A 24,024-nucleotide genomic window follows, 5' to 3' on the forward strand; every position below is an offset into this window, starting at 1 on the left:
TCACCCCCACCTCCAGTAAGTACACAAGGCTCCATCGTCTACCTATCCTGTAGCATCTCTGGTTAACGGTCCCACATCTGGCAGAAGCTCAAGTCCTCGAGATTACATCTGGACCTCCTGGAGAAGACAGCAGGTTTTTGAACGAACCAAATCATGTGAGGCATGTAAGCTGAGGATGTGGACTTGCAAGAAGCCTTTGAGATCTAACCTGCTCCTTGCTCAGAGGATGAAATGAGGTCTAGAGAGTGTAATTGACCTGCCTGAGGAAACAGACTAAAACAGAGATGAATTAGAATAGACATCTCCTGTCTCCTGATCACCACTCTCTCCACTATTCCATAAGGTGCAAAAAAGTAATATATTCATCTATCGAAAGATGACCTGTACTGCCTCTATTTAAAAAAGCATTTGTGGCAGCTTTCAATGAAAGAGGAATGCATAATAATATAATTTAAACAGAGGTAAAAAAAAAAATAGGAGGCATTTATTTAAGGAAATAGATAGGAAGGTTTTTTTTTGTTTGTTTTTTTTTTGAGACAAGGTCTCTGTCTGTAACTCAGATTGGAACACAGTGGTATGACCACAGCTCACTGCAGCCTCCACCTCTTGGGCTAAAGCCATCTTCCCACCTCAGCCTCCAGAGTAGCTGGGACCACAGGTTCATACAACCACGAATTTGTGTGTGTATGGGTTTTTATTGTTGTGGTTGTTGTTGTTTTTGCAAAGTCGAGGTCTCACTTTGTTGCTCAGGCTGTCTTGAACTCCTAGGGTTCAAGCAATCCTCGTGCCTCACCCTCCCAAAATGCTGGAATTACAGGCATGAGCCACTGTGTCTGGCTAGAAGTTCTCAGTATTAAAGAGGCCACCCAGGAGTACAATACTTAATTTAAACACTTAGATTGAGCTCTGAGTTTCCTGGAAGCCAAGCTGTAAACAAAAACACTGCATTTGGGAGGCCGAGATGGGCAAATCACGAAGTCAGGAGATCGAGACCATCCTGGCTAACATGGTGAAACCTCGTCTCTACTACAAATACGAAAAAAACCAAAAATTAGCCGGTCATGGTGGTGGGCATCTGTAGTCCCAGCTACTCGGGAGGCTGAGGGAGGAGAATGGCGTGAACCCAGGAGGCAGAGCTTGCAGTGAGCTGAGATTGCACCACTGCACTCCAGCCTGGGTGACAGAGCAAGAATCCGTCTCAAAAAAAAAAACAAAAAAAAAAAACCACTGTGCATTATACAGCCACCATTAGCTAGTAAAAACATTTGCGGTTTGTCACAAAATCTTGATCCAAATGTTAAACTTAAATGAAATTATCAGCTATATTATAATGGGCAGTGTCGTTGATAGCACCTTTATAAAAGGTATGGGACAATTCTTCATAGGTATAATGAATTGGTTCTAATTCAGCATTGTTTGGGCACCCAAAGAACTGGGGTCCAGGTATGTATATTTGTGGTAATGATGATTCAAAGATAGAGTTTAAAGTCTTTGAAGCAGTCATTTTCAAATATTAATGTAAAAATAATTTAACTGGGAAGATGTTTTCATGCAGATTCACTGCGCTTTCCCAACACCCATCCCCAATTGTGATTTAGTATGTCTGGAATAAAGCCTAAGTATCTCTGATTCTGATGCAAGAGGCCAGTGGAGCACATTTTGAGAAACATGACTCTAGAAGAACAAATTGTTTCTATGTCTCTTACCATTGACCAGCCCCTTTGAATACAAATTTTCCCCACCTTGTTTTTAATAAGCAGCCAATAGCCTGAGATTAATGTTTCAGCGGAGATACAGGAAGTGCAAAGACTCTGGGTTGTTGATTAAAAAACATTTCCTGTGCTTTACATACCAGGCATATAGGGAGCAAAGGTAGTGTTTGCTTAATAAACTCAAACCCTTGAGGAGCAATGGGGGAGGGTATGAACATAACCAGGAAGAGGTAGAAGAAAGGCCAGGCTGGGAACTCCAAAGCTAATCTTTGCTGCTTTTCCTTTTTCCAAAGACCAGCCCTGTTTGACTTCTGCTGTGCAATGGGCATTTGTGCCCAGCCCTGCTATCTTTGCCCACTGTTCATGGGAAAACCTTGTTGAAAGTTCATTCTGAATCAGAGAGGTGGGGTTAAAGTGGTGGTCCATAGGGGTGCGTGGATTCCTAAGGATTCATGAGTGAATTTTCAGGGGCCCTGGGACCCCTGAAGTTATACACAAATATTTTGTGTGTATTGGCAGATGTGTATTTTTGTGTGAAAAGAGGTTCCAATTAGGACTTTCATCAGATTTTCAAAGCAGCCATAAATGTTCCCAAAGGGTTGACAATTACTGGGCAGTCCTAGTTCAGCTCAGGGTGCATCCAAGCTCCATGTTCAGGTCTGTGTGTTCCCAGAACATTCTAGCCTCAGGTCAGTTCACTGACAATCTCCTTGGTGGCAGCTGGGTCACTAAGTATCTCTTCCTCCCCAGCAGCCACCCTCCCTGCCTAATCTGAGGATTTTGCTAGCAAAGCTGTCAGGCTTAATTTCAGCAAATTGTTTTGGGTAATTAGTCCCTTTTAATTGCTCATGGAAATAGTAATTTTAAGTGACAAGATTATTATATGCTGCTCGCTAGTGGATTCTCCAGGGTCAAGAAAACACCACTGAGATTGCTATAACCTGTTCTTTTCTATCTTTGGCATTCCCCTTGAAATCCAGAAAAGACATTTAGTAAAGTCGGTTCCCACTCTGTAAAAAGTATAGAGCACTGGTTTCCTTTTATCCTTCTGCCAAAGTGAAGGATTAGAGAAGGACTTTCAACTTTTCTGTGCGACTGCCAGCCCATGTCAGGCTTCACAGATTTGCTGATCATTAACTTGAAAAGCTGTGGGAAGTTTCTAGCTCTTCCATTTGCTTGTTTACCTGTACAGCCAAGTTGCTTTACAACTGACTGAGTTTTGAATAAATAGGGTCCTAGGTGATGAAATATTTGCCGCAGCTCAAGTTGAATATTTTCATTGCTTTTCACGTCACTGAACAAGAGGGTCAGTCTGACCGATGGGTCAGTATAACCGATAGGGCAGGATTGCCTAATGGTTCACCATGTGCTAGCTCAGGGGAGGAGTGGATGGAAGGTAGAGAACTCTTCTCTCATCAGTTTAGGAAGCTAGGAGTTGATTGGCTCTGACCAGCTGTGTAATACTGGGCCATTTGGTTGATCATTCTAAGCCCTCATTTAATCATCTGTCGAAAGAGGACAAAAATAATCCTAGCTCAAGGAATAGCTGTAAAGGATTAAGTGATATCATAAATGCTTGGCATGTAGCAATAACTAAGTCAAACAAAAAAGATACATGGATTGGAGAAATGTGGAGAAACGCATGGAGAAAACATTTCTAAACTGATACATCTGATAAGAGGTAATACACAGAACATACAAGGAACTCAAACAACTCAATAGCAAGAAAACAAATTAAGAAATGGGCAAAGGATCTGAATAGGTTCTAAAAGAAGACATACAAAAGGCCAACAGATATATTAAAAAAAACACTCAACCTCACTAGTCATCAGGGAAATGCAAATTAAAACAATGGCGAGGTGTCGCTTCACACCTGCTAGAATGGCCATAATCAAAAAAGACGAAAGATAAAAAGTGTTGGCAGGATGTGGAGAAAAGAGAACCCTTGAATACTGTTGATGGGAATGTAAATTAGTACATCAATTATGAAAAACAGTATGGTGGTTCTTCAAAAAACTAAGAATTCCCATATAAGCTAGCAATCCCACCTCTGGTACATATCTGAAGGAACTGGTATCAGTGTGCTGTAAACAGACATCTGCTCTCCCAAGTTTGTTGCAGCATTATTCACAACAGCCAAGATATGGAATCAACCAAGTGTCCATCAACAGATGAATAGACTTTTAAAATGTGGTATATATACACAATGAAATACTACTTAGCCTTTAAAAAGAAGGAAATTCTCTCATTTGCAACAACATGGATGAATTTGGAGGCCATTTTGTTAAGTGAAATAAGCCAGGCACAGATAGACAAATACTGTATGATTTTACTTATATGTGGAATCTAGAAAAATCAAACTCATGGAAGTAGAGAGTAGAATGGTGGTTACCAGAGTATAGGGGAGCAGGATGGGGAACGGAGAGAAACTGGTCGAAGGGTGCAAAATTTCAGTTACAAGGAGGATTAAGCTCGAGAGATCTATTGCATAGCATAGTGATGAGAGTTTGTAATAACGTATAGTGAAAAATCTTTAAGAGAGTAGATTTTAATTGTTTTCACCATAAAAATGCAAGTATAAGAGATGATAGATATGTGAATTAGGCTAATTTAATCATTTCACAATGTATACATATATCAAAACATCACATTGTACCTCATAATTATATATAATTACTATTTGTCATTTAAAAATAAAGATAGCATGTACTATTATAATTACAGTATACTACTTCTTCCCAAATCTAGATCTTACAAAGAAGTCTGGAGTAGCAGAGAGGTCAAAGAAATAAACACTACCCTCATGCCCAACTCTCTCCATGCCTTCCAAGTTTGTTAATACAGACACATCCAATCCAATCACATATGTACTGAAATCCTTTTTTAAATGATGCAGATTCAGATGGAGATTATTACACCGTTAGCAATTCAAAGTGGCTAACACTGATTTCAATGTGGGTAACCACATTCCTTGAAATCAAAGATTTGATATGAAACTGACAATAAAGAATTCATATGGAACTCAATTTTTCTTGCTGATGAAACCAAAGACATTGCCCTTGTGACAACTTTTCAAAAATAAGAGTTTCATTTTTTAAAAAAGACTTTTGTTTTTTTTCCTCCAGTTTCCTATAAGATTTCATTCTCATTCTTTAGAAATCAAATGCTAATACATTTCCTCTTTCATGGTGCTGCTTCTTACATTTAAGCATTTCATATCATGTTTTTTCCTCTCAAATTTCATGAGAGCCAGTACTCACGTTTATTGGTATTTCCTGAGGTCAGCGTTCTATATCTCTTCTGTATTTACTTTTTTCTTCAGCAAGGGCTGCAATGCAGCAGGCAAACTCAACCATTGCACCAAGGAGAAAAATGTCACCTTGGGAATTACGGCTAGTTCTCCAGTTATATCCTCCCGTAAAAGACCCTCCTCTAAGAACTGGAAATAGGATAGAAAGCAGGAGATGGCATATCTCAGATTGCAAAGCTTTCTCCTTTATCTTGAACATGATGCTTTCCTGAGCCTTAATCTAGTCAATTGTGGAGGAAAAGAGGAAGGAGGAGTGTTCACAACAATTTTAGTTAACTTATTTAAATGAAGTGTTTGGTGGGATTCCACAAAAATATTGAAGACCAGAAGGTTCAGTAGGTTGCATCTACATTACAACAACAACAACAAAAATACACAAAAGTACATGTGCTAGGGATGCTGGTGTGTTTGGCTAATGCTTCTATAGAAAAGATGAACCCATTCATTCCATCAGTTGTGCTAATTGCTCTTCTAGCTGCTGTGGTCTGTGTGACACTTCTCGACAGACTCGACTGTGATCAGATCAACTTGCCTCATGATGTCCTGGTGGAGTACCAGCAACGGCCTCAGCTCCTAATCTCCAACTTCATCAGACGGCGGCTTGGACTTTGTGACTAGACGTCCTAACTGGGCAGCCCAACCCTCCCCTGCAAGTTTGTAGCTCAAGTTGTAATGTGAAAGTCATATTTTATTTGTGGCATTTTTATATAGTTCTCATCCACATGCTAAATGGAAAGACTTTATGAAATCCTTCTCTCTTAAAAAGGAATTTATTGTAAAAGAATACTCACACTAAATTAAATTCAAATTTCATTTTAGAATAAGTTAACTAAATCAGTCTAATAATTAAAATTTTAAAACTCCTGGATTATGACATTTGGAGTTTCATATGCAGCATTAATTAAGCTCACATCAAAATAGACCAGCCATTTGCACATAGTTACCAGTCACTCTGTTTCTGAAACCAATCCAGAAATTCATGTTAGAACATTGTCAGGCACTTCTAGGTATTGGACAAGTGACAGAAACTGATCATCCATATTCAAAATATTTACAGAAAAAAGTGTCAGTGAAATGTAGGTCTATATGGAAAAGTTACCATTAGGAAAATATGGCCATACTGCTTTTTTACCCCTGCACTATTTCAGTGCACCACAGAATAGGATTCGAGATTTACATATGCCTGTTTGTGATTTTATCTCAGAATATAACAACTCTGGATTACATTTTCCTCTCAACTGAAAACCCTCAGTAATGCAAAGAAAGGCCTTCCTTTTTCTTCAGAATCACAAGTGACTAAATTGCCTTCTAGCCATTTTTTCTTGTAAAAAAAGTGTTTTGAGGAGGCTGTATTTTTTATTCCATTTCAATATTAACCAAATAGGCTGAGAAATTCATAGCAATTGAATTAAGACTTGAGTTCAAGATGTTAAAGGAATCCTTTTGTATGACTTGTCCAGACCGGCCTATTGCCCTACCCGTTTGATTCTCTGGGAGGCATGGTGCTCCTCCTGGCTGCACATGCTCTCTGTGAACTGATCGCATCTTGGGTTCTTCTCAATTTGACATACTTGGGAGTCGGAATGACTGGATGGGGGATGGGTAGAGGATGACTGGCACACTTGTATAGTATGTAATGTTGTGTACATATTATTTATATGGTTGTGGCTCAAATAAAGTTTAATTCCAACACAGTACAGATTATTTGGATCCCAGAGCCATTGTCACACATGACCGAATGGAGGCTTGGGGCAGGAAATAGGTCCTAGGCCGGTTGAGTCTGAATTGGCCTGCTCCTGGGTGGGGAATGTCTTTCTCTTTCAAGCAATGACAATAAACAAGAGGTATTTATCATCACCAATAAACAATCCCCCAAGAGGTACATTGGTTTGTGAACTTCTTTTTGGCACTAGAGACACTTTAAGTGCCATTTTTAGGGTATCTCAATAATTGACCATCAAATTCAAAGATCAGAGCTAAAAGCAAGCTAGAATAGCATTGCCGTCATTTTCTGATGGGATTTTTACTTTGTTTCATATTTTTTTAGACCATGTAGTGAAAACCACCTCAGAGAGGCTTCAGTTTGAACTTTTATCTGCCTGCTCCTGGACAATCTTTTTTTTTTTTTTTTTACACGGAGAAGGAGAGGCTATGAGAGGGAGAAGAATGAAATAATTACAGTTAATCTTCTCTTCAACTCCTGCAAGGAGTGTGTGCGCACAGGTGCATGCATGCATGCATTTATGTCTGTGTCTTCCTCACTGGTATTTTCTATCTCAGTAAACCATATCACTTGCACAAGCCAGAAACCTGGGAAACCCCTGTGATGATTCTTTCTCCTTAATTTCCACAGCCAGTCAATCACTAAGTCTTATTAATTGATCCTCCTAAATATTTCCCCAGTCTGTTCATTTCCTTCCATCTTTTTGGCACCCATCCTAGTCCAGGCCACCATGATCTCTCCTCCAGGTCACTGAGGAAGCCTCACTCCTGATCACCCTGCCTCCATTCTTGAAGTTTGATTGGGTTATTTTCCTGCTTCAAAGCCTTCACATTGGTCTTAGAATGAAGACCAAAGCCCTCTGTGCAGCTTAGGCATTCCTGACTGGGCCCAGCTTGGTAGCCCAGCTCACCTCACCCACTTCTTCCCCTTGTGTCTGCCCTCCAGGCACATCACCCTTGGTCCTTCAGTCTTACCCAAGGCACAAATTCACAAAGGCACAATCCCTTGGGAAGGACTGCCAACAGATCCATCCAATGGGGGTGCTTAGCTGCGGGGACAAGTGGGACTGAGATCCACCCTGTCCAGCTAGCTGTGAGACCTGGACAGGGTGAATCTCAGTCCACCCTGAGCCACAGTGACTGAGAGGGGCCTTTTCCTGATTTATACAATGGTGTTATATGGGATAGTGGGAACTCTTAGTGCCAATGTCCCTTCCCATTTCAGAGCCTTTTGCTGTCTACTCTCCCTGAAGGGCCCTCGCTTAACTCATGCTCATGGTTTAAATCTCAACTCAGAGATCCCTTCCCTTAGAAAGTCTTTCTAATCCTCAAACCAGATTCCTTCCATGCTCACCTGTAGTCCCCCTCCAGAGCCCCCTCGACTACTTCTTCAAAGTATGCAGCTTGCAACTATGTCATGATTGGGGTCATTATTTAATTAATGCCTACTGTCTACACTATAAGGTTCTGGAGAACAAAGACTGCACATATTTTATTTGCTTCTATCGCTTCAAGCACCTAAAACAGTACCAGACACATACTAGGCACTCAATAAATACTTGTCAAGTGAAGAATGAATCCTTTTCATAGCATTTCCCTTGTAAACTCTCACTATAATCTCACAATCTTTGCAAGACTCATACTTTCCTTATTCAGTCCTGGTCAGCACAGCTCTCCCTGGCTGTTCCTCCCACTACATCTCACTCTGTGGGGAGGAAAGTCCTCTGTACCATCAGTGTATATCTGTGGCAGTGTCTAGAACCTCTTGTTTTCTCACATACACACAGCTTTCCCCTCTGTCAAAACCAAGCCCCAAATTCACCTCCTTTGGGGAGGTCTCCAACTTCAATTTTCCCTCAAGTCATCACTTCTTCCCTCCTTCCTTTAGAACTAGATTTGCACTGGGAAGACAGGAATTTGTTCTCATGCAGATGCCGTATTGAGAACATTTATCCTTTTTCATGTTCCTGGGCTGTCTTCATTTGGGAGGCTCACATTTCCTTTGTACTCTTAGCGTGTCATAGAGTTTTGTTCTCTACAGGTATCTTCTGACTGCTTACCTATGCACACTCTAGGTCTGGGCACCGGCTTTTTACCTCACCTGTAACAAGCTTCTCTACTCATTCTTTCTTGCCCTCTTTGAACACCCTTCAAGAAGCAGATTGGCCTGCAAAAACCCTCTTCTTGTCATTTCTATGTATATTTGTGTACATTTTTTGTATGTTTCTTCCTTTGTTCATTCATTCATTATAAATATATATTCCTCCTTCTTCCCCAGTAGAATCTGAGACAGCTTACAAGGTTGAATAATAGCACATCGAGATAGTATAAGATAGAACTAACTGGGCAAGAAAAGGAAAAGCAAAGGCAAGGGGCATCAACTGGTACAAGCCTGAAGCTTCTGCTACTGTGCATTCCATAGAGTCTGTGCATCAGCAGAACGTGGGCTCTGAATTGGCTTGGGGCCAGCTAGTGGTTGCCTCGTAAAGAGAACAAATTTACAGCATCTCTAAAATAAAAATGCAAACTAATGATCAGGAGAAGAACAACTAGTCCTGATTCTAAGAGGCCACAGTGTGCAGAGATGAGTGTGGATCTCAGACCGCCTGGGTGTGGAGTTGGGGGGATGAGCCCCAGTTGGGCGTCAGTGTGTTCATTCCAGGACACCGCCCTGAGGTTCTCAACACAGGTGCATACTAGGATCACCAGGGAAGCCTTTTGAAAACACTGTTCAGAGGTCCATCTCAGACCAATTCAACAAGAATCTCTGGGAGTGGGACTGGGAAGCTCTATTTTTTATTTTGCAGCCTAAGTTGAGAGTTACCAATTTAGAAGAATGGACAGTCTGTGACTCTGGCATGTGCTCTTCCAGCTGAACTTCTAAAACTCTTTAGGCCTTGTCTCCGCTGGAATAGTTATATAAAGATCAAGTTCTTTTACTTGACTCACTCCTCGATGCTAGCAACAGTATCTTACTCATTTTATATTCCAGCAACTTGCACAGTGCCTGGCACATAGTAAGACTGAAAGGATTTTACATTTTTATATTATATATAAAATATATGAAACAGTTTATAATTTATATAACATATGTGATATATTAAAAATTATATATAATTATAATGATGTAATTATATACTATATATTATCTATTAATAAAATAATTCATTCAATCTTACTATGTGTTTATGTATTCATACATATACACATGTACACACACATATTTGCTGGTATGTATAAAATTATGTACAAAAACATACAAAAAACTAAAATACCCCAATGAAAGATGAAACAAAAATGAACAAAATCACAAAAATAACAAAAAATAGCTGACTATCTCTCAGGGTAATTTTATCCAAATGTTATCACCTGAACAAGTCTTCAGGTCGACATGTATATATTAGTCAATATAATTTGCTTTTGTATTCCATTTTCATTCCCAAACATCAGCACAGGAAACAGTTAAGTTTAATCATTGCTTAGAAAAACTCAGTCTGTAATCCAAAATACACAAAATAACATTTTTGACTTATTTTTATCAGCTATAGAATGTTACCTAGTGTGTTGCATCCTGTAGAGGCTTCATACGGGAGGTAAACTATCAACTTCAGGAATATAATAGTTTGAATTTTATTTATTCCTTTTACAAACACAGTTTTAACATTTGGGATTCATTTTGGAGACCCCTGATAAAATCTATGAACCCGATCTTCAGGAAAACACACATTCATACATATGCCCCCAAATCTGCATACAATTTCCTGGGTTTGTGCACCTTCCTTAGGTCAGGTTGTGGCAGGACACCTGTGTCCTCTACCAAAGGCCATAGCTCCTGTGGGTGGCCCTTGCCACACTTCTGTCCTCCCTGGGTTCTGGTAATTGCCCTGCTTCAGCCCTCTCGGATCAGGGCTGGTAACAGTTGTTTCCAGCTGCATCATCCCTTGTTGCTCCCTAAATCCTGCCCACCCCTTGTAAACAGTCCCTTCAGTAAGTTCTCTCGGTTCCCTGTTTAATTATGCCATCTGGTTCCTGCTGAGACCCAGTAATACAGCCTCCAAAATACATCTGGGGACCAAAACCATTTTGAAAATCACTGACTTAAGGAACTGAAGTCATTCTATATGAAGATCTTTCAATTATGCATTTTTTAAATTGCAAAACAGAAGCTAATTCTTTAACTGGTAAAATACTTTTAAAAATATAATCTTCTGTACAAGAATGTATTCTTTTATTTAGAGATTCTCGTGAACTCTCCAGGGCCTGCAGCTTGAGAAACATGGTGCTCAACTTATTTTCCTAGCTGGCTGCTGGGCATCACATGTATGATAGAATTGAAAACTTGAGTAAAAGACAGATTAATGGCCTCTACTGTTTGCCTCCAAGCTACAAGTCCTGTCATCCTGTCATGGAAGGAAATTAAAATTGTCTGATACATACTGAGTTTCATAAAGCCACACTGTTCCTCTCCAGGATCCTGTGTGCCTCTAGATGTCTATACCATAGATTTTTTTTTTTTTTTTGAGGATTTGATCAACAACCTCCACCTCAGGGTTGGAGCTGTGTAAACTAATCTTTAATTGTTAAGATCTCCCTTTGTTCCTTTTAAAAATAAATGAATTATACATGTTTTTTTCTTTCGCAATCCTCCAGGACTTTCTCTGTCTTTTAATGATCCTAAAACTATAGCCAGTGACTCTGCAAACCACTGTCTCCTAAAATGAATAACTGGAAAAAAACTTACCATTTGCAGCCTGCTTCGTTATTCACTTCTCAATGATTTTCTCAATTTCTGATTTGTTTTTTCACTCCTCCCAAACAGAAGTCATTGAATCTAGAATCAATTTAACATTCGTTTTTCTAAAAAACTGAGCATAGCAGTTTTCACTTGAGAACAAGAGCCATTAAACCACTTTTTCCCCTTGAAACATTAAGCCTGATTTAAATATTATTTTTTATTAGTATAAAGTAGTTTAGAAATTCATTAGGCAAACAACTTAGACCAGTATCATATTTTGCAGAGGACTGGTCTAGAATTAACCTACCAAAAAGTAGTAATTTAGGGTTGTGTCTATTTTTCTAAATTTCTAATATTCTTGGAAAAGCTATTCCACCTATAGTAGCTTAATTGTTAACACCGTGAAGCACTGTGGATGTTCCAAGGTTACAGACATTATCTGGGTCATCAGATTTTGCCCATTCCTTGTTAAAACAGGAAGATGGATCTTTAAAAATCTAGATGCTTTTCATATCCAAATCAACTTATTTTTTCATTTGAGTTCAAGTTTGTACATTTCCTACCAGCATTCCAACCAACAAAAACCAATGATGAGATGAAATAAAATGACACCCAGGTTCCACTTACTCTAGGTAAATGATCAGCAGTGACCACGAGCCCTCTACTCAGATCTGTTTCCTACACTTCACAGTCCTACTTTCAGTGCTATCTTCTTCCTTCTACTAGGACCCCAGAGGACTCACCTCTTAAAGAGCCAGTCCAAAGTTGGTTTAAGGCTACAATGCTATGAACTCGCTCCAAGTAAACAAGCAAATGACAGAACAAATATATTTATAAAGAATCTACTTTCTGTAAGTCACAAGACTAGGTGTTATGAGAGAACAAGATACAGCCAGCTCCATTAAGCAATTTGCAACCTAGTAAGTTCAAGGCACTAAGACAAATGTGTGAATGACTAGAACTCAAAGGATAATCTGATAGACTCCAAAAAATAGGTAGACATACAAGTGTTTTGAGAGGTTAAACAAAGAAAATGATACTATGGAGCTGAGAGGGTTTGAAAGGGTTTCTTGGCTAAGGTGGATATTTGAGATGAGCTTTACTTAAGGGTATTTTGATAGAGGTTCTAGCGGAGGTGTTGTCACTAAAAGGAAAAGCATTAAGAAAAAATGAGGAAAAGACAGGACATATGACTAGAATGGTGAAGAATCCTGGTTGGCTGAATCTGGAAATGTAGTTTGGGAGTCTATTAGGTAGGGTCCTAAAAGTCAGGTTAAGAAGATGGGACCATATTGGCCAGGCAATGGGAAGTTGTTCAAAAGTGTAAAAGCACTGGTTCTTTTTCAGATAAAGATCACTAAGAAGAAACACCTGGATGTAGATGACCAATACTTGATCGGCTACATTTCACAATTTCCAAGGTGGTGGTAGGTGGTCAGGGGGAGATGGATTAAAGATAAGATGAGGCCTCCAAAGACACTATTTGCTTGTTAGTCAGTTCCCTTACTTGTGAAGGTCAGTGGCTTCAAATTTTTACCTAAAAAGTCAAGCCGCTTACATATTTCAGAATAAAAATTGCCTTTTCACGTGAAAGATCATGTGCTTCCAAAGTCTTCTTATGTTAAAAGGCTAAGGAGAGTTCAAATATGACACAGCCTGAATAGAGGCTGTGGGAGACAGTGGTGTTGAAATGACTGATGAGTGAGAGATGTCAGTGATGATCTCAGCATCTATGCAGATAAAACCTTTTACGGTTTTGTGGCTAATAAAAAATTAGTTTTTCCAAAAAAAATGTATAAAATTTAATTCATTAAAAAGTAAAGTCTCAGTGAAATTCTGATACATGCTACAACATGGATAAACCTCAGGATATTATGCTAAGTGAAATACTACACACATACAGATAAATATTGTACGATTTCACTTATATGAGGTACTTAGAGTAGACAAATTCACAGAGAAAGAAAGTAGGATACTGGTTACCAGGGGCTGAGAAAAAGAGGAAGTGGGATTCATTGTTTTATGAGCACAGAGTTTCAGTTTGGGATGACGAAAAAGTTCTGAAGATGGATAATGGTGATAGTTGCACAATAACGTGAATGTATTTAATGCTACTGAACTGTACATGCAAAAGTGTTAAAATGATAAATGTTATGTAAGTTTCACTATCACAAAAATGTAAAGGCTCAGTGAGGTCTATTTTGTGGTTTTTATAATAACACATTCTAATTTGCTAATTTTATTAATTTACTCATTGCTGATACTCATGCCTGCTGGTTGGCATTTCTACGTGGGCTTCTCTGATCTACAGGAGTTAAGTGGCTCTAAGAAGGTTCTGTGGTGAGTGATGAGTCACTCAGCAAAGGAGTTGAGTATGGTAATGGCTACCAGCAGGGAGACCGTGTAGCCCCATGTTCTTATCTCCAATATAAGACTGTATCTGCCAAGAAGTCCTAAATCTTTGAATCCGGCAGTTCAGGCATTCTTGCTCAAGACAGCATAGCTGACTGAAGTTATTTTTAAAGCACAGTTTATCAGACTCAGGAATGCAGTGAGAAGATATGACTGACACATCAATAGCTATCAGAAAGAATGATTAAATCTAAAATACTAGAGAGAAGAGAAGAAGGTAGACACACCAGGGAGTATTTCTACAGGATCAAAGGCTGTAAATTTAAAATGGAATTTTCCTGCATCAATCCAATAGGCATTACCCTGGGTATAAATACTCTGGTGTCTCAATAATGGAAGAACAACTAATAAGTTAATTTATCTTTTCAGGTTGTCATAGCATACATGGGACTCTGTGGGGTCAAAATATGTTGCTAGAGAAAGATAGAAATTATCATGAAGTGAAGGGAAATAATAAGAAAAAAATGAAAGGAAATATTGAGAGGGAAGGGAGACTAGTAAGCAAGGAGAACAGTTGTGGAAGGATATTATGAGAAGAAGTTTACTGGGGGTTCTGCAAGAGGGAGAGCTATTATACCCCAAGGCATTGCAAACATCTACGAAGGCTGCATGAAATATTTTGGGAAGAGAATCAAAACATGCCAGAAAAAAAGAGAAAACTTAAAGCCAGGGTTGTGACCGGGGCTTACAGCTGATACTAAACATGAAGGCTAAGGTTTAAAGCTCATGTAGACATGAGGCCTCATGTCAGGTGAGGTGGATATTGGAACTAATACCCAGCTGAAGAAATCCTCCCACCTACACAGGAGATTCTAGTGAATCTAGTTTGTCTCTGTTTAACAAGCAATAGGAAAAAAATACAATTCCCTAAGAAAGTCAAACTCCATGCCTGAGTCTGGCTTGGAATTTGAATTTATTTCAGGAACTCTCATTTTAAAAGATACACAGAAAATTGGGTCATGGAACAGAGACACCCCTGGTGCTCCTAGCATAATAAATGCAAAACCACATGGGGAAGCAGACACACCCAGGTGACACATGATTCTCACAAAATAGCCAGCCTCGTTGAAGATAAGCTCATGATAGAAAGTCACAGAATAAGCAAGTAACAATATTTGTGTGAGGCACAGTCAACAGGAGGATTAGACCCAAGAATGTGACTAGAATTGGGCCTTAAAGAAAGCAACTGTCATATAATAGCTTTAAAATCATCAAAGCTATACCAGAAGTAACTAAAACACAAGAATAAAAAATGTGAAAAGACATGTGAGGATCATGGCGGACGCGAGGCAAGACTAGATTGCAACTCCGACTGGGACAGACAGAGGTGTGTGGAGGCTCGCATCATGAATTTTTGCTCCACAACGACTGCAGGAATAAATCAGAAAACTTCGGAGGACCCACAAACCCCCTGAAGAAAGCAGATTGCTCCTGCAGGGCCCGGGAGACAACCCAAATACTCTGCGTGCCCAAACTGGAAGTAGGAAAGGGAGATTGTCTGCCCCCAAACACACCTCCCCACTGGAGAAACTGAAGGCCTAGATTATGGGAGAAGATTTTGACCTTACCTGGAGCTGAGTAAATTTAGAAAGCCAGTGAAATACAGGGGTAGAGGAAGCAGTGGGAAAAGCCGTGGGAGCTCGCTGGGTCCCCTGGCAAGCTGTTTTTGCCTGGCCTCACAGAGGCGCTTTGGGAGGATGGCCAAAGGTGCTGGGAAAAGGCCACAGGGAGAAGGAAATCTCCAGCTGAATTTTGTAACAATTTGAACTGAGGGAGAAGTCTCCTGGCCAGAACTTGGGGCAGCGCGTCAATCTATCTGGTGTGCTGACTCCACAGGTGGGGGAACAAAGAAAGCCATAGTTGCTTTTGCAGCTGGGAGGCAGGTAGCCTGGGGCAAGTTCTCAGCTCAGGTAGCTGAAGACAAAAGGCCTATACTCTTGGGAGTTCTGAGGCCCCGCCCACCACCTGTTACTCCTATCCTATCACAGCTGATGCTCTCTGGAAAGCACCACCTCCTGGCCAGAGGCCAACCAGCGCAAAACCGGTGCATTAAACCACCGAAGCTAAGAACCCCCCAGAGTCCATTTCACCCCTCTGCCACCTCCACTGGAACAGGTTGTTAGATATGAGTTCTAAATTTCTTTTCAAAGAATCAATATGTCAGTATGTTCAATTCTTTACCGTCTACTTTTAAACTTAACTTTCTCATAAAGCAACCTTTTTTGATTACCTGCTCCACCCTGACTCATTTCAGTTACCTGTTCCATCCTGACTCATTCTGATTACCTGCTGTGTCATAACCATTTTTCCCGCCAAACCACTCACCCCCGTCACTCTCTTTAAATTAGCCAGTCGGAATTAGTTTAGCTTGTGTGGTCTAACTCTAGCCAAGAGGGGAAGGACACAGCAGCAGGGGCCACGCGCGTCAGGGATAAGAACCCCTTCCCCTCCCTTGTCCAAGTGTGTACTCACCATTGCTTCATCTGTAAGGGTGCACACTTCTACAGAAGTACCTTGCCTTGCTGAGAATTAAAAAGAAAATTTTATATTCGAGTGCTATTTCTTTTGCAGCACCAAAACTTTATATATAACAAGGTGCTGGTATCCATGGCTGAGAGACCCAGGTGGTTCACATCATAGGACTCAGCAGACAACCCCCAGTACCAGCCAGGAGCCTGGTAGACTCACTAGGCGGCTAGATCCAAAAGACAGATAACAATCACTACAGCTTGGCTCTCAGGAAGCCACATCCATAGGAAAAGGGGGAAAGTACTACATCAAGGCAACACCCCGTGGGAAAAAAGAATCTGAACAACAGCCTTCAGCCCTAGGCCTTCCCTCTGACAGAGCCTACATAAATGAGAAAGAACCAGAAAACCAACTCTGGTAAAATGGCAAAACAAGGCTCTTTACCACCTGCCAAAAAATCACACTAGCTCACCAGCAATGGGCCCAAACCAAGAAGAAATCCCTGATTTATCTGAAAAAGAATTCAGGAGGTTAGTTATTAAGCTAATCAGAAAGGCACCAGAGAAAGACAAAGCCCAGTGTAAGGAAATCCAAAAAATGATAAAAGAAGTAAAGGGAGAAATATTCAAGGAAATAGATAGTATAAATAAAAAACAATCAAAACTTCAGGAAACAATGGACATGCTTATAGCAATGCAAAATGCTCTGGCAAGTCTCAGCAATAGAATTGAACAAGTAGAAGAAAGAACTTCAGAGCTCAAAGACAAGGTCTTCGAATTAACCCAATCCAACAAAGACGAAGAAAAAAGAATAAGAAAATATGAACAAAGCCTCTCCAAGAAGTCTGGGATTATGTTAAATGACCAAACCTAAGAATAGTCGGTGCTCCTGAGGAAGAAGAGAAATCTAAAAGTATGGAAAACATATTTGGGGGAATCATCAACGAAAATTTCCCTGGCCTTGTGAGAGACCTAGACAACCAAATACAAGAAGTACAAAGAACACCTGGGAAATTCAACGCAAAAAGATCACCTAGGCATAGTCATCAGGTTATCTAAAGTAAAGATGAAGGAAAGAATCTTAAGAGCTGTGAAACAGAAGCACCAGGTAACCTGTAAAGGAAAACCTACCAGATTAAAAGCAGATTTCTCAGCAGAAACCCTATAAGCTAGAAGGGATTGGGGCCCTATCTTCAGCCTCCTCAAAACAATTATCAGCCAAGAATTTTGTATTCAGCAAAACTAAGTTTCATATAAGAAGGAAAGATACAGTCTTTTTCACACAAAGAAATGCTGAGAGAATTTGCCACTACAAAGCCACCACTACAAGAACTGCTAAAAGGAGCTCTAAATCTTGAAACAAATCCTGAAAACACATCAAAACAGAACCTCTTTAAAGCATGAATCTCATAGGACCTATAAAACAAAAACACAATTTAAAAAACAAAAACAAAAAACCAACATATACAGGCAAAAAATAGCATGATGAATGGAACTGTACCTCACATCTCAATACTAACAGTGAATGTAAAGAGCCTAAGTACTCCACTTAAAAGATACAGAATTGCAGAATGGATAAGAATTCATCAACCAACTATCTGTTGCCTTAAAGAGACTCACCCAGCACGTAAGGATGTACACAAACTTCAGGTAAAGGGGTGGAAAAAGACATTTCATGCAAATGGACACCAAAAGCAAGCAGGAATAGCTAGTCTTATATCAGACAAAACAAATTTAAAGCAACAGCATTAAAAGAGACAAAAGGGGACATTACATAATGATAAAAGGCCTTGTCCAACAGGAAAATATCACAAATCTAAACATATATGCACCTAACACTGGAGCTCCCAAATTTATAAAACAAGTGATAATAGACCTAAGAAATGAGATAGACAGCAACACAATAATAGTGGGGGACTTCAATACTCCATGGACAGCACTAGACAGGTCATCAAGACAGAAAGTCAACAAAGAAACAATGGATTTAAACTATACCCTGAAACAAATGGACTTAACAGATATATACAGAACATTCCATGCAACAACCACAGAATATACATTCTACTCAACAGTGCATGAAACTTTCTGCAAGATAGACCATATGATAGGCAACAAAACAAGACTCACGAAATTCAAGAAAATTGAAATTATATCAAGCACTCTCTCAGACCACAGTGGAATAAAACTAGAAATCAACTCCAAAAGGAATCTTCAAAACCATGCAAATACATGGAAATTAAATAACCTGCTCTTGAATGATCATGGGGTCAACAATGAAATCAAGATGGAAATTAAAGGCCAGATGCAGTGGCTCACGCCTGTAATCCCAGCACTTTGGGAGGCTGAGGTGGGCAGATCATGAGGTCAGGAGATCGAGACCATCCTGGCTAACATGGTGAAACCCTGTCTCTACTAAAAATACAAAAAATTAGCCAGGCGTGGTGGCAGGCGCCTGTAGTCCTACCTACTCGGGAGGCTGAAGCAAGAGAATGGCATGAACCTGGGAGGCGGAGCTTGCAGTGAGCCGAGATCGCGCCACTGCACACGAGCCTGGGCGACAGAGCAAAACTCTGTCTCAAAAAAAGAAAAAAAAGATTGAAATTAAAAAATTCTTCATATTGAGCAACAATAGTAACACAACCTATCAAAACCTCTGGGACACAGCAAAGGTGGTGCTAACAGGAAAGTTCATAGCCCTAAACGCCTACATCAAAAAGGAGGGAATAGCACAAACAGACAATCAAAGGTCACACCTCAAGGAACTAGAGAAACAAGAACAAACCAAACCAAACCCAAACTCAGCAGAAGAAAGGAAATAACCAAGATCGGAGCAGGACTAAATGAAATTTAAAAAAAAATACAGAAGATAAATGAAACAAAAAGCTGGTTCTTTGAAAAGATAAATAAAATTGATAGACCATTAGCAAGAATTAACCAAGAAAAGAAGACAGAAAATCCAAATAAGCTCAATAAGAAATGAAATGGGAGATATTACAACTGACACCACAGAAATACAAAAGAGTATTCAAGGCTACTATGAAGACCTTTATGTGCATGAACTAGAAAACTTAGAAGAGATAGATAAATTACTGGAAAGATACAACCCTCCTAGCTTAAATCAGGAAGAATTAGATACCCTGAACAGACCAATAACAAGCAGCGAGATTGAAATCATAATTTTAAAAATTACCAACAAAAAAGAGTCCAGGACCAGACAGATTCACAGCAGAATTCTACCAGATATTTAAAGAAGAATTGGTATGAAGCCTATTGACACTATTCCATAAGATAGAGAAAGAGGGAACCTACCCTTAGTCATTCTATGAAGCAAGTATCACCTAAGTACCAAAACCAGGAAAAAGCATAACCAAAAAAGAAAACTACAGACCAATATCTCTGATGAACACAGATGCTAAAATCCTTAACAAAATACTAGCCAACCAAATCCAACAACATATCAAAAAGATAATCCACCATGATCAAGTGGGTTTCATACCAGGGATGCAGGGATGGTTTAACATATGCAAATCAATAAATGTGATACACCACATAAACAGAATTAAAAACAAAAATCACATGATCATCTCAATTGATGCAGAAAAAGCATTAGACAAAATCCAGCATCTCTTTATTATTAAAACTCTCAGCAAAATCAACACACAAAGGACATACCTCAATATAATAAAAGCCATCTATGACAAACCCACAGCCAACATAGTACTTAAAGGGGAAAAGTTGAAAGCATTCCCCCTGAGAACTGGAACAAGACAAGGATGTCCACTCTTACCACTCCTCTTCAATGTAGTACTGGAAGTCCTAGCCAGAGCCATCAGACAAGAGAAAAAAATAAAGGGCATCCAAATCAGTAGAGATTTTGCTGTTTGCTGATGATATGATTGTTTACCTAGAAAACCCTAAAGATTCCTCCAGAAAGCTCCTAGAACTGCTAAGAAAAATTCAGCAAAGTTTCCAGATGCAAAATCAATGTAGTAGCTCTTCTATACACCAACAGTGACCAAGCTGAGAATCAAATCAAGAACTCAACCCCTTTTACAATAGTTGCAAAAAAAATTACTTAGGAGTATACCTAACCAAGGAGGTGAAAGACCTCTATAAGGAAAACTACAAAACGCTGCTGAAAGAAATCATAGACAATACAAACAAATGCAAACACATCCCATGCCCATGGATGGGTAGATCAATATTGTGAAAATGACCATACTGCCAAAAGCAATCTACAAATTCAATGCAATCCCCATCAAAATACCATCATTCTTCTCAGAATTAGAAAAAACAATTCTAAAATTCATATGGAACCAAAAAAGAGCCTACATAGCCAAAGCAAGACTAAGCAAAAAGAACAAATCTTGAGGCATCACATTACCTGATTTCAAACTATACTATACGGCCATAGTCACCAAAACAGCATGGTACTGGTATAAATATAGGCACGTAGATCAATGGAACAGAATAGAGAACCCCAAAATAAACTCAAATACTTACAGCCAAGTGATCTTTGACAAAGCAAACAAAAACATAAAATGGGGAAAGGACACTCTTTTCCAAACAAATGGTGCAGAAATAATTGGCTAGCCACATGTGGGACAATGAAACTGGATCCTCACCTCTCACCTTATAAAAAATCAACTTAAGATGGATTAAGGACTTAAATATAAGACCTGAAACTATAAAAATTCTAGGAGATAACATTGGAAAAGCCCTTCTAGACATTGGCTTAGGCAAGGATTTCATGACCAAGAGCCCAAAAGCAAATGCAATAAAAACAAAAATAAATTGTTGGGACTTAATTAAACTAAAGAGTTTTTGCACAGCAAAGAAACAGTCAGCAGAGTAAACAGACAACCCACAGAGTGGGAAAAAATCTTCACAATCTATACATCTGACAAAGGTCTAATCCAGAATCTACAACAAACTCAAACAAATTAGTAAGGAAAAAAACAAACAATCCCAGCAACAAGTAGGCTAAGGACATGAATAGACAATTCTAAAAAGAAGATATACAAATGGCCAACAAACATATAAAAAATGCTCAACATCACTAATGATCAGGGAAATGCAAATCAAAACCACAGCGGGATACCACCTTACTCCTGCAAGAAGGGCCATAATCAAAAAGTCAAAAACATGGATGTGGTAAACAGGGAACACTTCTACACTGCTGGAGGAAATGTAAACTAGTACAACCACTACGGAAAACAGTGTGGAGATACCTTAAGGAACTAAAAGTAGAACTACCATTTGATGCAGCATTCCCACTACTGGGTATCTACCCAGAGGAAAATAAGTCATTATATGAAAAAGATACTTGCACACGCATGTTTATAGCAGCACAATTCACAATTGCAAAAATGTGGAACCAACCCAAATGCCCAATCAACAAGTGGATAAACTGTTATATATATATATATATATATATATATATATATATATATATATATATATCATATCACATATCATATCACATATATATATCATATCACATATCATATCACATATATATCATATCATATCACATATATATATCACAGATAGATGTATAGTAGTATTCATATATATGTATGAATACTACTCAGCCTTAAAAAGGAATGAATTAATAGCATTCGCAGCAACTTGGATGGGACTGGAGACTATTATTTTAAGTGAAGTAACTCAGGAATGGAAAACCAAACACCATATGTTCTCACTCATAAGTGGGAGGTGAGCTATGAGGATGCAAAGGCATAAGAATGACACAATGGACTTTGGGGACTCAGAGGGAAAGGGTGGGAAGTGGGTGAGGGATAAAAGACTACAAATAGAGTGCAGTGTATACTGCTCGGGTGATGAGTGGACCAAAATCTCACAGATCACCACTAAATAACTTACTGATGTAACCAAACACCTCCTGTTCCCCCAATAACCTATGGAAATAAAAAAATTTAAAAAAAACTTTTTGAAAGAAATATGAAAAGACAAGTTTGCTTCGAATGATAATGTTAATGATGATGATGATGATGATGATGATAGCATAGCACTGACCACACACTCCACACTCTATTTTTGCAAATAACTCATTTAATCCTCATAACATTATAGTATTATAATTGTGTTATGAGGCATTATTATTTTCCCATTTTATAGTTGAGGAAACTAAAGGACAGTGAAGTTAAGTAACTTGCCTTGGGTCATAGATCTAATAAGTGACGGAATTGACATTCACAAGGGCATTCTTTATTTGGAGTACAGGTCCTTAAGCACTATACTAAATTAAGAACTAAGTCTATTTCCAAATGAAATTTCAAAAGAACTTCAGGATTTGAGAATTACAAAAATTAAAATGTTGGTAATTGTAAAGAAAATTCAGCAGGTGAGTTAAATAGACGGTTAGGCATAGTTGAAGAAAAAAGGCATGTATAATAATGTATAGTAGAACTGAAAAAAATCTAAGAATGCAGTACAGAAAGAAAGAAATGGCAAATATATAAGCAAAAGTAAGAAATCAAGAGAATAAAGTAAGAAGATCCAATATATTTCTCAGAATTCCAGAAGGAAAGAATAGAGAGAACAATAAAGAGGCAAAATTCAAAATAAAATGACTAAGAAATTTCCAAAGTTGGTAAAAGACAATGAATATTCAAGAAGCACAGTATAAAGATATATCACAAGTGAATAAATGTAATAAGGCTGTCTAAGAAAACTAAGAGAAAATGTTAAAAGGAAGCAAAAAAGGAAAGACAGATTCCTTACGAAGGAGCAGTTAGATGGATAGCACATATCTCAATAGCAACCATAAACACTAGAAAATTCTAGATTATCTAGGTGATAATCTAGATCAGGACTCCTGCAGAGTCCTGAGGAAAAATATTGTTAACTTAGAATTCTATAAGCAGGTAGAATATCAACCAAGTGTGAGGACAAACTAAAAACATTTTTAAACAAATAAAAATGGAGAGAGTCCCCTACACTTAGGTTATTGATGAAAGAATAGCTAATTGAAGGATACACTTCAGGTAAAAAAATAATTGACTCAGATAGGAAAATAGGATGCAAGAAGAAATGGTGAGCAAAGGAATACAAAAATAATGACTGAAAAAAATAAATCTGAGGGATTAAAAATAAGTACTAAATAATATTAAAATGGAAATCTGAAATATAGAGTTGAAGGGTCCTAAGAGCCCACCATCGCTGGAGAGGAGAGGTTTGAAATAACATTAGACTTTATTACTTGTATATATTAAAATATAAGGCTGGAGGAGGGGGCAGAGCAAGATGGCCAAATAGAAGCCTCTAGCAATTATCCCCCCACCACCACAGGAACACCAAATTGAACAACTATCCATACACAAAAGCACCTTCATAAGAACCAAAAACCAGGTGAGTGACCACAGCACCTAGTTTTAACATCATAAGAGGCACTAAAGAGGGCATGAAAGACAATCTTGAATTACCTACACCATCCCCTCCTCATCCCTCGGCAGTGGCTACATGATGCAGTGAGAGAATCTGGGCATCTGGGAGAGGAAGAGTGCAGAGATCATGGAACTTTACATTGGAACTCAGCGCTGTCCTGTTATAGTGGAAAACAACTTGGGGTAGAACTCAGCCGGTGCCCACAGAGGGAGCATTTAGACCAGCCCTAGCCAGAAGTGAATTGTCCATCCCAGT

At 38.9% G+C, this 24,024-nt stretch overlaps 1 protein-coding gene across 2 annotated transcripts in view; it reads left to right on the forward strand.

Annotated features, from left to right (window-relative positions):
- The window catches only part of UPP2 (uridine phosphorylase 2), a 140,976-nt gene extending 134,072 nt beyond the window's left edge, over positions 1–6,904 (forward strand). For both annotated transcript variants that reach the window (NM_001135098.2, NM_173355.4), the window contains one exon: positions 5,498–6,904. In NM_001135098.2, coding sequence (NP_001128570.1) covers positions 5,498–5,640 — 143 coding nt within the window. In that variant the 3' untranslated portion in view covers positions 5,641–6,904. The remainder of the gene's footprint in view (positions 1–5,497) is intronic.
- The last annotated feature ends 17,120 nt before the right edge of the window (positions 6,905–24,024 follow it).

This window comes from Homo sapiens, chromosome 2, assembly GCF_000001405.40.
Source record: "Homo sapiens chromosome 2, GRCh38.p14 Primary Assembly".
Classification (NCBI taxonomy): Eukaryota; Metazoa; Chordata; class Mammalia; order Primates; family Hominidae; genus Homo; species Homo sapiens.